The 13,111-nt window shown below is 49.9% G+C and overlaps 1 protein-coding gene across 2 annotated transcripts in view, besides 3 other annotated features; it reads left to right on the forward strand.

Annotated features, from left to right (window-relative positions):
- The window catches only part of GTPBP4 (GTP binding protein 4), a 31,499-nt gene that overhangs the window by 15,530 nt on the left and 2,858 nt on the right, over nt 1-13,111 (forward strand). For both annotated transcript variants that reach the window (XM_047424932.1, NM_012341.3), the window contains exons 9-16: nt 1,855-1,944; nt 3,055-3,165; nt 4,995-5,072; nt 5,566-5,617; nt 6,457-6,557; nt 8,502-8,699; nt 10,284-10,349; nt 11,790-11,933. In XM_047424932.1, coding sequence (XP_047280888.1) covers nt 1,855-1,944; nt 3,055-3,165; nt 4,995-5,072; nt 5,566-5,617; nt 6,457-6,557; nt 8,502-8,699; nt 10,284-10,349; nt 11,790-11,933 — 840 coding nt within the window. The remainder of the gene's footprint in view (nt 1-1,854; nt 1,945-3,054; nt 3,166-4,994; nt 5,073-5,565; nt 5,618-6,456; nt 6,558-8,501; nt 8,700-10,283; nt 10,350-11,789; nt 11,934-13,111) is intronic.
- Nucleotides 842-1,341: an enhancer, noted in NCBI's record as "H3K4me1 hESC enhancer chr10:1050745-1051244 (GRCh37/hg19 assembly coordinates)". NCBI's record gives its function as "activates a minimal SCP1, AML or CMV promoter by ChIP-STARR-seq in naive H9 embryonic stem cells {active_cell/tissue: H9 hESC(naive)}" and the evidence as "EXISTENCE:reporter gene assay evidence [ECO:0000049][PMID:30033119]".
- Nucleotides 4,655-5,155: an enhancer, noted in NCBI's record as "H3K4me1 hESC enhancer chr10:1054558-1055058 (GRCh37/hg19 assembly coordinates)". NCBI's record gives its function as "activates a minimal SCP1, AML or CMV promoter by ChIP-STARR-seq in naive H9 embryonic stem cells {active_cell/tissue: H9 hESC(naive)}" and the evidence as "EXISTENCE:reporter gene assay evidence [ECO:0000049][PMID:30033119]".
- Nucleotides 5,156-5,656: an enhancer, noted in NCBI's record as "H3K4me1 hESC enhancer chr10:1055059-1055559 (GRCh37/hg19 assembly coordinates)". NCBI's record gives its function as "activates a minimal SCP1, AML or CMV promoter by ChIP-STARR-seq in naive H9 embryonic stem cells {active_cell/tissue: H9 hESC(naive)}" and the evidence as "EXISTENCE:reporter gene assay evidence [ECO:0000049][PMID:30033119]".

The following is a 13,111-nucleotide window of genomic DNA, read 5'->3' on the forward strand; positions in this document are numbered from 1 at the left end:
TCTGTGGTGGATCTCTGATCCTGAAGCACCCCTAGCAGCTTAAGCCCACAGGGCAAGGCTGTGGCTGTGGCTCCACCCGTGGGGTCAGGGCACAGTCCTGGCCTGACTCCAGGGAAGACGCACTCTGGAGGTTTGAGCCTGGGAAGCAGGGTAGAGCTGTACTTCAGAAACCTGAGCCAGTAGGGAGGGCTTAGTGTCAGCTCAAGGGGAACTCTGGACCCTGGGATGGTGGGGCCCAGCAGTATCCCAGACTCTCTGATGCTAGGTGAGGTGGCAGCAAGGACCCCAGAATGGACTAGTCCAGCTGTCATTTGGGCCCTAGAGGACAGGGAGGAGGACAGCAGTGACTCCATTTCCTGGAAAGAGTGGTGACTCTGCAGCTCAGAATATAGGGTTAGTCCAGCTCCAGGGAGCAGGTGCTGGAGCTGTTTGCGTGGTGGGGCAGGTGCCTCGGCTCAGCCCCTGCCCTGTTTCCCTGGGGTGTGGAGTACAATGTCAGCTCCTCCCCATGGTATGTGGCTGGTCAGCCTGGGCCTGAGGGTTGTGACTCTTCTGGGCGCCCCAGGCACCGTTGCCCTGGGATACAAGGTACCTCTTCAGCATAGACGCTGGGATATGTGACCATTCTGGGCATTTCCCAGGAAGCAGGGCACTGCTTCAGCTCAGGCAGCAGGGAGACAACGTTCCCTGAGAGGCCACGGTGCTATTTACCAGGAGGCAGGGTACCGTTGGGTGCTAGAGCAAGGGCTAGTAGAGGGGCTCCACCTCCACCAAGCCCTGCTGGGAAGGGGTAGCAGCTGCTCACAGCTGGCTTGGGGATGTTGGGCCACCAGGTTTGGGTAGTTTGGAGGCAGTTTAGCCTCAGGGATGAAGGGGAGCTGTGGCCACTTCCCCTGAGCAAGACATACTCCAGCCGCAGTTCCAGTCCCAAGATGATGGAGTATAGCCGCCCCATGGGCCCAACAGACAGGGCCCAGTGTCAGCTCCTTCTGTGTGGGAGCACAGCTGTGAGGATGCCAGGGGGCTCCGGTGGTGAGGGCTGTGGGTGTCCAGAGTGGTGGCAGGGCTGCTGCCATCCTCTTGCTTACCCCCTCACCGTAGGGAGAACCTCCTCCTGGGTCCCGTTGCATCCCAGCTGTAGGGTGGGTTGCTGGCGGCCCAGTGTGTTTTTTTTGGTTTGTTTGTTTGTTTGTTTGTTTTAAGACGGAGTCTCGCTCTGTCCCCCAGGCTGGAGTGCAGTGGCGTGATCTCTGCTCAATGCAAGCTCCACCTCCCAGGTTCACACCATTCTCCTGCCTCAGCCTCCCGAGTAGCTGGGACTACAGGCGGCCGCCACCACGCCTGGCTAATTTTTTATATTTTTAGCAGAGACAGGGTTTCACCATGTTAGCCAGGGTGACCTTGACCTCCTGACCTCATGATCCACCCGCCTCGGCCTCCCAAAGGCTGGGATTACAGGCATGAGCCACCGCGCCTGGCCCCTGGTGTTTTCTTTGGGCTGTATTTCATCGTCTTGCGTTTTTCTGCTCCCCAGGGTGCCTGTTACTCCTGTGATGCCCTCTGGAGCTCCCCCTCAGTTATTAACATGTAGTTGTTCGTTATTCTGATTGCCTTTGTTGTGGGGGACAGATGTGAGGGGCTACTAGTCGGCCATCTTTTTGATGTCATTTGTGTTTTCTTGATCATAGAAGAATATGAAGAAAATAACTGTTTTTAGGATATGTCTGTTTTTTAAGACTTTGAAACAACCACAGATGTTCACATTTGCAGCCTCCATTTGCAGAACTGTACAGTTTGTTCCATAGGGAACTGGAAATGAATAATACATCTCTCGTTTTTTCTTTGCATTCCCAGAAAATATTTACAGATTTGCAGTCTGAAGGATTCCCTGTAATAGAGACCAGCACCCTGACTGAGGAAGGTGTTATTAAAGTTAAAACAGAGGTCAGTGCTGCCTTAAGTCAGGTATTAGTCTTTTTACTGTCTCTTGTTTGATTCAAGTCAGTTGTGGGGAGAAAATAGTTTTCTTTCTAGACATTGTTAACACTTGGAGCCCTCGCAGTAGCGAGGCGGGTGGCGTGCGAGAGTGGGGCGTGAAGACAGACCCTTCTAAGACCCACTTTGCCCCCCGTGGACAGTGGGTTGTGAGGGGATGCTTTGCTCTTCTCACCCCAAACAACTTTACCCTAAAGCAGCTGTTGTCTCTGGCCTTTTAATATTTCGGTAGCAAGTACAGTGAAAATTATTTTTATGGAACCTGTTCGAAGTAGAAGGGAGAAAAGTCTGAAAAGCAGAACAGCTTTTGCAGGAGGCAGTCCGCTGCTGGATTTCACATGCTGTCCTAATTACTTTGTATTTCATGTTGTTTTTATCTCAAATAAAAGGACATTTCTGGCCAGGCGCAGTGGCTCACGCCTGTAATCCCAGCACTTTGGGAGGCTGAGGCGGGTAGATCACCCAAGGTCGGGAGTTCGAGACCAGCCTGGCCAACGTGGTGAAACTCCGTCTCTCCTAAAAATACAAAATTAGCCGGGCGTGGTAGCGCATGCTTGTAATCCCAGCTACTCGGGAGGCTGAGGCAGGAGAATCGTTTGAACCTGGGAGGCGGAGGTTGCTGTGAGCTGAGATCATGCCACTGCACTACAGCCTGGGCAGCAAGAGCGAGATACCATCTCAAAAAAAAAGATGGCACTCCTGATGCCATGGTCGCACTCAGGATTTAAAAAGATGGCACTCCTGATGCCATGGTCGCACTCAGGAATTTGTTGCTCGGTTAGAGTCCTGAGGGGCAACATTGCCTCCGGTTCGTGAAGGGCAGTTGGAGGGCACCGTCTGTGCAGAGGGTCACTGTGGTGGGAGAGAGGCCCAGGCACTGGAGATGCACCTTCCCTCAGGGCCGCTTCCACCTGGGCCTCAGAGAATGTGGCCCCCTACGTGTTAGTTACCTTGAGGGAAAAGGCTCAGTGGCTCTGATCTGTGGCTCCTCCTGGAACCTGTAGCTGGAGGCTGCTGGAGGATGCGTTTGTGACTGTGCCTTCTTTTTTACGTTATTAGGCTTGCGATAGGCTTTTGGCTCATCGAGTGGAAACCAAAATGAAGGGAAATAAAGTGAATGAGGTGCTGAATAGACTGCACCTGGCTATCCCAACCAGGAGGGACGATAAGGTAAGACGGCCCCTGGGACAGCCGTGGGCTCACAGTACTGTCAGCAGGTGCTGTCTGCGTGCCTTTTCCAGAAGCCTCCCATCCAGCTTCACACACTCGCAGGTGGATATTGTGGGTGGGCCTCAGTTTCACCTTCTTGCTTACATAAAGGATCGAGAAGGTGAAGAAAGTGCAGAACGCCACATGGCACCCGTTTCCCACTGCATGACGTGGTCACTGTTAGTTTATCCTTCCAGAAATGTTTCTGATATAGAAGATTAGTTTCTAAAAAGTTCTTTAAACACAGATGGAAATCTGTTTCATTCTTTAAATTTTCATTTTTTTGGCTGGGGGAAGTAGCTCACGCCTGTAATCCCAGCACTTTGGGAGGCCAAGGTGGGAAGATTGCTTAAGCCCAGGAGTTCTTGACCAGCCTGGGCAACATAGTGGGACCCTGTCTCTATAAAAAATAAATAAAATAAATTTTCATTGTTTTGTCCATTGTGAATGGGCACACATCGTTACGCTGTGTCTTCATGTTTTACTGCAAATGTGTCTGCACTTCACCATGTGGTGTTGACAACGTTCCTGTCCCACAGACGCCTTCCTGGTGTGTGCTGCACTGACGCTGGAGGCTGTGTCCTTCCCTCTGTCTTTCCTTGTGTCCTCGGCGTGGTCGGGCACTGACTGTCAGTCTTGTGTAAAGATGATTTTATTGTTGTGTGTTTATGTAATGCTGGGTGCGGTTGAGCATGTTTGTCTGCTTATTGGCCTTTTCAAAGTTCTTTAGGCTGTTTATCTTTTTCTCGCTGATTTGTTACTTTTGTATTACAAAGGTTGGATTCTTGTCAGATACATTGCAAATTTTTTTCTCTTTTTGTCACTTGCCTTTTTAACTTCAAATGTGCTGTACATTTTTGAACTATTAACATATATTAATTTTTTTTTCTGGGTGTTCAGGTTTGCATTGTACATAGAAAGGCTTACCATTCATTCCAAAGTCATTTTAAAAGTATCTTTTCTTGCTGGGTGCAGTGGCTCACGTCTGTAATCCCAGCACTCTGGGAGGCCGAGGCGGGTGGATCACCTGAGGTCAAGAGTCTGAGACCAGCCTGGCAATCATGGTGAAACCCCATCTCTGCTAAAACTACGAAAATTAGTCGGGCGCGCACCTATAATTCTACCTATTCAGGAGGCTGAGGCGGGAGAATCGTTTGAACCTGGGAGGTGGAGGTTGCAGTGAGCCGAGATCACTCCACTGTACTCCAGCCTGGGTGACAAGAGTGAGACTCTGTCAAAAAAAAAAAATTATCTTTTATACTAGCATTAAAAATTAGCTTTTTTGGATAGTCTTCACCGTGTCTTGAGTTGGTTATGTTGTGAGGGTGGAGGTTGCACTCCGTTTCAAGTGGTCGGCATTTCTGACCTGAGTATTGGAAATTTTATGTTTCCATTGAATTCTTATATGCACTTGAGTTTATGTCTAAATTTCTTTCATCTGTTGATCCAGTGTTATTTCTTACCACTTTCTTCTTCCATAATTTTTCATGATAATCATGATTTCTGTTTTTCCTGGATAAACTTTGGAATCACTTTGTGGAGTCCTCCTGGTCTCTGTGCTCAAAGTGACCCTGAACCCACTCCTCTCCCCTAAAATAATCTGTTGGTTGTTAATTGGTCTCGGTATGAACCCACTCCTCTCCCCTAAAATAATCTGTTGGTTGTTCATTGGTCTGGGTATGGTTTTCTGTTCCCCTTGCACGTAGGGAATTTGTTTCTACTTTTTCGGCTTTGTAAGTTTCTCATTCAGCAGGCATTTCACATAAATATTTTATATGGGATCTTCTCAGGAGAGGCCCCCTTTCATCCCTGAAGGAGTGGTGGCTCGCAGGAAGAGGATGGAAACTGAGGAGTCCAGGAAGAAGAGGGTATGCTGCCGAAGCTCTCGCCCAGTGTTCTCATGGGGGGAGGCAGGCTGTGTGTGCCCATCGTGGGGGCCTGGGGCATCGAACAGGAGCCGCGGGTGCCCAGACACTGGCCCCGTCAGGCTGCGGACACAGCAGTGAGTCCCCCTGCAGAAGCCTCTCTCATGGGGCTCTTTGGCCTGAGGGAAGATGGCCGTGAACCAAATGCATGAGTGGGATAGACAGTCCCCAGATGGCCAGAAACAGCCTCTTCCTACCAGAACCTAAAGGCCGGCCCCACAGACAGGGAGATAAGAAACAGCCTCTTCCTACCAGAACCCAAAGGCTGGCCCCGCAGACAGGGAGATAAGAAACAGCCTTCCTACCAGAAATGGAAGGTGAACCCCACTGATACTGAGAGGATTGGAGAAAAGATTGTTTCAAGTGACAAGGGGCAGAGCATTTCTGGATCTGAAAGGCAAAATGAAGCTGATGATAATTTCTCTTTCTATTGCAGGAACGAGATCTTGAGCTGGAAATGGGAGATGATTATATTTTGGATCTTCAGAGTAAGGGCCAGAGTGTGATCATTATTATAAAATGCCAATTGGACGTGAAGTATTTCAGAAAATGGGGGAAAGACTTTAATAAGTAATAAAAGTGTTTCAGCCTATTTGTCAACTTTTAATTTCTTGAAGATTAAAAGTTGCATCCTGAGGGCCAGGTGCAGTGGCTCACGCCTGTAATCACAGCACTTTGGATCCCTTATGCCCAGGAGTTTGAGACCAACCTGGGCAACATGGCAGAACCCCGTCTCTACAAAAAATACAAAGATTAGCCGGGTGTGGTGGCATGTGCCTGTAGTTCCAGTGACACGGGAGGCTGAGGTGGGAGGATCACTTGACCCTAGGAGGACAAGGCTGCAGTGGGCAGAAATTGTACCTCTGCCCTCCAGCCTGGACGACAGAGTGAGACTCTGTCTCAAAGAAAGGTGCATGCTGATAGCACTCAGTGGGGGTTCTTCCATTGTTTCCTGTTGTTTTGGGATGGTGGGGTGATTTCTGTAGCTTTCTCCACGTGTGGGTGTTGAATGAGGCTGATGTGTTGTTTCCTGTTGTTTTGGGATGGTGGGGTGATTTCTGTAGCTTTCTCCACGTGTGGGTGTTGAATGAGGCTGATGTGTTGTTTCCTGTTGTTTTGGGATGGTGGGGTGATTTCTGTAGCTTTCTCCACGTGTGGGTGTTGAATGAGGCTGATGTGTTGATGCTGCTGCATGTGGAATTGCACGTCGTGCTCTCTTCTGCAGTGGAGTCGTTGATTTGCCGTCAGTCACAACTCATTTTGCGCACGTAGTACTTGAAGATATTAAAAACTGCTGTAAACGTAACCACCTTTTTTTTAACTTTAGAGTACTGGGATTTAATGAATTTGTCTGAAAAACATGATAAGATACCAGAAATCTGGGAAGGCCATAATATAGCTGATTATATTGATCCAGCCATCATGAAGGTTTGTGTCACTTTTTAAATTGCGGATTGTTTTCCTTTTTATTATAGTAGTATTGCTGGAAGATAGCAGCATGGCTTCGGCTCAGCTGGGCCTGTCCGCTTCATTCTGCACCCCTCCATCCTGACTCTGCCCCCTGTACCACTTCCCCACCCTGAGACTCTGGTGGAGATACTGGCCCTGGCTGGGCTCTGCTATGCTGGCCTGCCCCCTTCCCGCCGCCTCCACCCACCCACCCCGGACACTCTGGTGGAGATGCTGGGCCCCTTCGTTATCCTGCACCCCTCCATCCTGACTCTGCCTCCTGCACCTCTTCCCTGTCCCGACACTGGTGGAGATGCTGGGCCCCTTCATTCTCCTGCATCCCTCCATCCTGACTCTGCCCCCTACACCACCTTCCCCACCCCGAGACTCTGGTGGAGATGCTGGGCCTCTTCATTCTCCTGCACCCCTCCATCCTGACTGTGCCTCCTGCACCACCTTCCCCCCCACCCTGTGTCTCCGCCAGGCCCTGGATGGGCTCTGCTGTGCTGGGCCCTTCATTCTCCTGCATCCCTCCATCCTGACTGTGCCTCCTGCACCTCTTCCCCCCACCCCGAGACTCTGGTGGAGATGCTGGGCCCCTTCATTCTCCTGCATCCCTCCATCCTGACTGTGCCCCCTGCACCACCTTCCCCACCCTGTATCTCCGCCAGGCCCTTAATGGACTCTGCTGTGCTGGACCCTCTTCCTTGGGGGCTCCGCTGTGTCACATCTTTTTCCTGCCTCAATCCCCTCCCTACTTGCTTTTTCTTAGCATATAAAAGTCCACAAGTTTTACTCATCTTTTTAAAAAACGAAAACATCCTTAGACCGTGTCCTCCATTAGTTGCTATCCTGCCTTCTTCTCTCAGCTGAGCTGTCTGAAACATGCTAACATGCTTATACAATACTTGCTGTCCTGCCTTCTGCTCTCAGCTGAGCTCTCTGGAACATGCTTTTTATACAATACTTGCTGTCCTGCCTTCTTCTCTCAGCTGAGCTCTCTGGAACATTCTTTTTATACAATACTTGCCATCTGCATGTCCCATGTTGCCACTCCTTGGTTCCCACAGGCCCTCCGTCATTGAGTTCACATTTTCAGTCTCGTGGTCTCTGTGCTCCCTGTGCCTCCATAGCAGATTCTGGGATAGCAGATTCTGGGGGCAACAATCTCAATTTCGTTGGTGCTGGAGGAGTGGCCTCAGGGCATCTGCTGTCACCTCTGCTGGGGCCCCAGTCCAGCCCGTGCCCTCACTGTCCCCGCGGTGGCCGCCTGCCTTCCCAGCCTCTTCCCCTCTGCAGTGCGCGCTCTTGGGCGCAAGAAGCCTTGAGACTTCCCTCCTCCGCACAGCTGTGCCCGTGCCATCCCCTTCCACGAGGCCTGGCCCCCGTCTCACCCTCTGCACTGCTGGCCAGCATCTCGTACAGGCACATCTGCCTGCTGGGCTCCTGGCCGGGTTGCCTCATTGGGGGGTGATAAACGTGTGTGTTTTAGTTTTCATTTTTGTCTTATTTGTAGCCAGTGAGGTTGTATTTGGGGTGACATTAGAACGGACACGTGGGATGTGGCACGAAATCAGTGTCTCAGGACTGAGTTCCTTGTGTGTGTCTGCCGGGAGCATTGGAAGTGAAGGAGGCGGTCTCTGCACATTTTTAGCCTTGGAATTTAATTGTTTTAAAAAAAGGAAATGGTGCACAGGGGTTACTGACTTGCTGGCGGCTGGCGTTCACGTGGTCTCCATTTTCTTCACAGAACCCTCCCTGTGAGGTAAATGGCACATAGGCAGGGCCCAGGTGGGTCTGGACCAGGGCAATCGCTCTCCTCTGAGTCAGGGAAACAAAGCTCCCATACACACTCTGCCACACTCACTGACTCAGGGGTTTTCTCATTGTTAATTTTGCTTCATTACAACTCCATTTTTAAAGAAATTGGAAGAATTAGAAAAAGAAGAAGAGCTGAGAACAGCTGCTGGAGAGTATGACAGTGTATCTGAGAGTGAAGACGAAGAGATGCTGGAAATCCGACAGCTGGCAAAGCAAATTCGAGAGAAAAAGAAGTTGAAAATTCTGGAGTCCAAAGAAAAGAATACACAGGGACCCAGGATGCCGCGAACTGCTAAGAAGGCAAGTTTGTGTCTTTCCAAAGCAGTGTGATCTAGTTTTTGAAAATTGGATTCCTGTGTGATCATTGCTAAATAACAACTTTTCAACCCATTTATGGCCATAAGATTGCACATTCTTGTTTTATTGGTGTATGGATTTGCAAGATCGCTCACGTATTGATCTTTTATATTCTTTACTGCGTCCTTTCTTGGTGACTTTCAGCTTCGAGTTTGGCACTACTCTAGATCCAGTCATTTTGCAGTTGTACAGATTAAAACTGTAACTTATGGTTCACAGACGTTCAAGGCTATCAGTGAACATTTTCCTCTTCTTTTTTCTCTCTCTCTTTTTTTTAGGGGGGAGATGGAGTCTTGCTGTGTCTCCCAGGCTGGAGTGCAATGGCGCCATCTTGGCTCACTGCAGCCTCCACCTCGCGGGTTCAAGCAATTCTCCTGCCTCAGCCTCCCGAGTAGCTGGGATTACAGGCACCTGCCACTACGCCTGGCTAACTTTTGTATTTTTAGTGGAGATGGGGTTTCACCATGTTGGCCAGGCTGGTCTCAAACTCCTTACCTCAAGTGATCTGCCTGCCTTGGCCTCCCAAAGTGCTGAGATTACAGGCGTGAGCCACCACGCCCGGCTGGTTTTCTTGTTCTTTAATTTCTGCATTAAATCTGGACTCTTTAGGCCGGGCGCAGTGGCTCACGCCTGTAATCTCAGCACTTTGGGAGGCTGAGGTGGGTGGATCACGAGGTCAGGAGATTGAGACCATCCTGGCTAAAACAGTGAAACCCCGTCTCTACTAAAAATGCAGAAAAATTAGCTGGGCGTGGTGGCGGGCGCCTGTAGTCCCAGCTACTCGGGAGGCTGGGGCAGGAAAATGGTGTGAACCCGGGAGGCAGAGCTTGCAGTGAGCCGAGATTGTGCCAGTGCACTCCAGCCTGGGCAACAGAGCAAGACTCCATCTCAAAAAATAAAAAATTTAAAAAAAAATCTGGACTCTTTAGCAATTTACAGAAACCTGACGCAGTCTACAAAAGGCAATTTATTGGCTCTGTGGCAGGGTGGGACTGGGGGAAGAAAGCCCACATGCAGGGCAGTTAACATGTAACCAGAGAAGTCACTTGACATTCAGGATGCCTCTCAGTGGGTCTTCCTGTTTGAATACACTGTTTTCACATGGTGGCAAGTGACTGGTTATGGCGGACTTGGACATTTTTGTACTTCTCCAGGTGGGGCTCAGCCATCTCTGGGAGGAGAGAGGTTGGCGCACTGCCTTTGTCTGAGGCCACCTCACTAACCTCAGCTTTAGTGTCTCACCTCTGATGGAGACGGTCACTCTCTCCCCCGTGTTGCGGTGAAGAATGGACAGACGTGGAGGATACGCTGATTCTTCCCACAGCAACTGCTCTGTTAATGTTAGTTTTCGTGGGATTTAATTGAGCTATCCAAAAACATGAAAGCGGGGCCCAATAAAAATTACAACTTCTAAAATAAGTATATTATAATTGTTGCAAAATATGTATACATATATATTGCCTTGAAGTTTTTTTCAACATTTCATCAAACTAATTTAAAGCTAATATTTCTTTTTATCCTTCTCAGGTTCAGAGGACAGTTTTGGAGAAGGAGATGCGTAGTCTTGGTGTTGACATGGACGATAAAGACGATGTGAGTGTGGGGGCGGTTCATGTGTTTATGTGGCTGGATACACCTTTTTAATAAAGAAAACTGGCCGGGCGTGGTGGCTCATGCCTGTAATCCCAGCACTTTGGGAGGCCAAGGCGGGCAGATCATGATGTCAGGGGTTCGAGACCAGCCTGGCCAACATGGTGAAACCCAGTCTGTACTAAAAAAAATACAAAAAATTAGCCGGGCGTGGTGGCGTGTGCCTGTAATCCCAGTTACTCAGGATGCTGAGGCAGGAGAATTGCTTGAACTTGGGAGGCAGAGATTGCAGTGAGCTGAGATCGTGCCCCTGTACTCCAGCCTGGGCGACAGAGTGAGACTCCATCTCAAAAAAAAGAAAGAAAGAAACCAGGGTTTTGGAAAGCCGTGGGAACGTGGGAAATTACAGCAAAAAGAAATGAGAGCTTCCAGTTTTTCTCTTTTGAGATTCGCTGGCCCTGGGACTGACTTGAAGTGATGGGTTGAGGATTCCCTGACCCTGGGTCTGGGTTGAAGTGGTGGATTGAGGCTGCACTCCAGCCTGGGCAACAGAGCAAGACTGTGTCTCAAAAAAAAAAAAGCTCCACAGCCAGCACGAGACAGCACCATGACGTGCCCAGGGTGTGGCTGCAGACCCTGTCCTCTAGATGTGCAGTCTGCAGTTTCCGTCTGATGGTTTCTGTCTGATGGTTGTCCCTTTGTGTTCATATCAGTAACCCCCAAAATGGGGCAGTGAGGGAGAGAGCATTGTTTATATCTGAAATATAAATTGTGATGCTATACTATAATAATCACTTTTAAATGAGAGTTCTAAGTTTCTTTAAGTGGAGTTAAAATCAGCTTTCTTACGTAAAGCAGCTTCCGTTAAGTGAATAAGAATATTTGACCAACAACTAATGTGAAATTGTTACTAATGTGAACTTGAAATGGTGTCACTAATATGAAAATACTGCGTGTATTTTCAAGACCTTTAGCCCATGTGTTAATGGTTCAGACGCTCCTCTCCTCCCCTCTTGCTGGAGTGACCTCATGCCTGTCGCTGAGCCTGGGTGCGGGGCTGGGGTCCTGAGCTCTGAGCCTGGGAGTGGACCTGGGGTCCTGAGCGCTGAGCCTGGGAGTGGACCTGGGGTCCTGAGCGCTGAGCCTGGGAGTGGGGCTGGGGTCCTGAGCGCTGAGCCTGGGAGTGGGGCTGGGGTCCTGAGCTCTGAGCCTGGGAGCGGGGCTGGGGTCCTGAGCGCTGAGCCTGGGAGCGGGGCTGGGGTCCTGAGCGCTGAGCCTGGGAGCGGGGCTGGGGTCCTGAGCGCTGAGCCTGGGAGTGGACCTGGGGTCCTGAGCGCTGAGCACTGAGCCTGGGAGTGGACCTGGGGTCCTGAGCGCTGAGCACTGAGCCTGGGAGTGGACCTGGGGTCCTGAGCGCTGAGCATTGCTTCCCCTGCTTTGCAGGCCCATTACGCAGTCCAGGCAAGAAGATCCCGGAGCATCACTAGGAAAAGAAAGCGGGAAGACTCTGCTCCCCCGTCCTCTGTGGCCCGGAGTGGGAGTTGCTCTCGAACTCCACGTGACGTTTCTGGTCTTAGGGATGTCAAGGTCAGTCTCTGTGTTGTGTAATGTAATAAAATGACAGTCTCTGTTGTTTATTGCACAGGGTTCAGGGCAAACACCAGCAGTTGCCATTTGCAGGAACTATGGCAGGGGTTGTGTGTACTGCATGCCCTCGTTTTGTGGCATCCTTTAGAGGAGAGCACGGGTCAGGGTGCAGGTGGATGCCCCTGACAGCTGCCCTGGATGGACCCCTCCTTGGCACTTTGCTTTTGCGGAGGGTGGCCAGAGCATGGTCTGACAGCACTAGCAGTCTGGGCTTAGACCCTGCTGTCTGAAGAGGGCCAGGAAGTGGCCACAGCTGAGCACCAGGAGGCCTCAAGTCCAGCAAGCCCCCCATGGGAGGAACAGCAGAGGGAACTCCTGGGTTGATTGGCGGGTGATCCTGCTCATCCTTAGGTTGCAGGATTGTTCCCCCCAGGTGGAGAGCTTGAGTCACATTTAGTTTATTTGTAGCGTCTTTTGGCAAAGACACTTAAGATGGACACAGTCTGTCTTGCTGAAACGTCCTTTTATTAAACACAACAACTTTTAGTTTCAGCGTTGTGGTAATGGAGATGCAGGAGAGTCTGTGTATAAACTGCAGTCTCCTTCATGGAAGCCTGAGCTTCACTCCTCTGTGCCATTGCCATCTTGAAACCTGGCTGTTAATATTGGCATTGCCACTTGTCAGTCAGACCTGAGGAAAACAGGTTCATGGGCCTGAGTCCTTAGCTTGTGTAAGAGGGAGTTAAAACAGATGTGTGCTAACCTTCTAGGTCTAAAGTGTATCTAGTCCTGGGTATAAAGCTTGTCCTGGGTATGATTTTCATCCAGTCTTTATACAAAAATACTCATTGAGTTCCTGCAGATAACTGTGCTGGGCTTAAGAGAAAAGAGATGTAACAGGGATAACTGTGCTGGGCTTAAGAGAAAAGAGATGTAACAGGGGTAACTGTGCTGGGCTTAAGAGAAAAGAGATGTAACAGGGGTAACTGTGCTGGGCTTAAGAGAAAAGAGATGTAACAGGGATAACTGTGCTGGGCTTAAGAGAAAAGAGATGTAACAGGGTCTCTTCGCTGAGCAGACCTGAGCCATTAAACAGATTGTTACCCAGTAGTTGAAATTCAGAATGGAAAATTGGTTTTAAGTAATGAACATACTTTATTTTTTTCTCCTCCTTTTAG

This window comes from Homo sapiens, chromosome 10, assembly GCF_000001405.40.
Source record: "Homo sapiens chromosome 10, GRCh38.p14 Primary Assembly".
NCBI classification, from domain to species: Eukaryota; Metazoa; Chordata; class Mammalia; order Primates; family Hominidae; genus Homo; species Homo sapiens.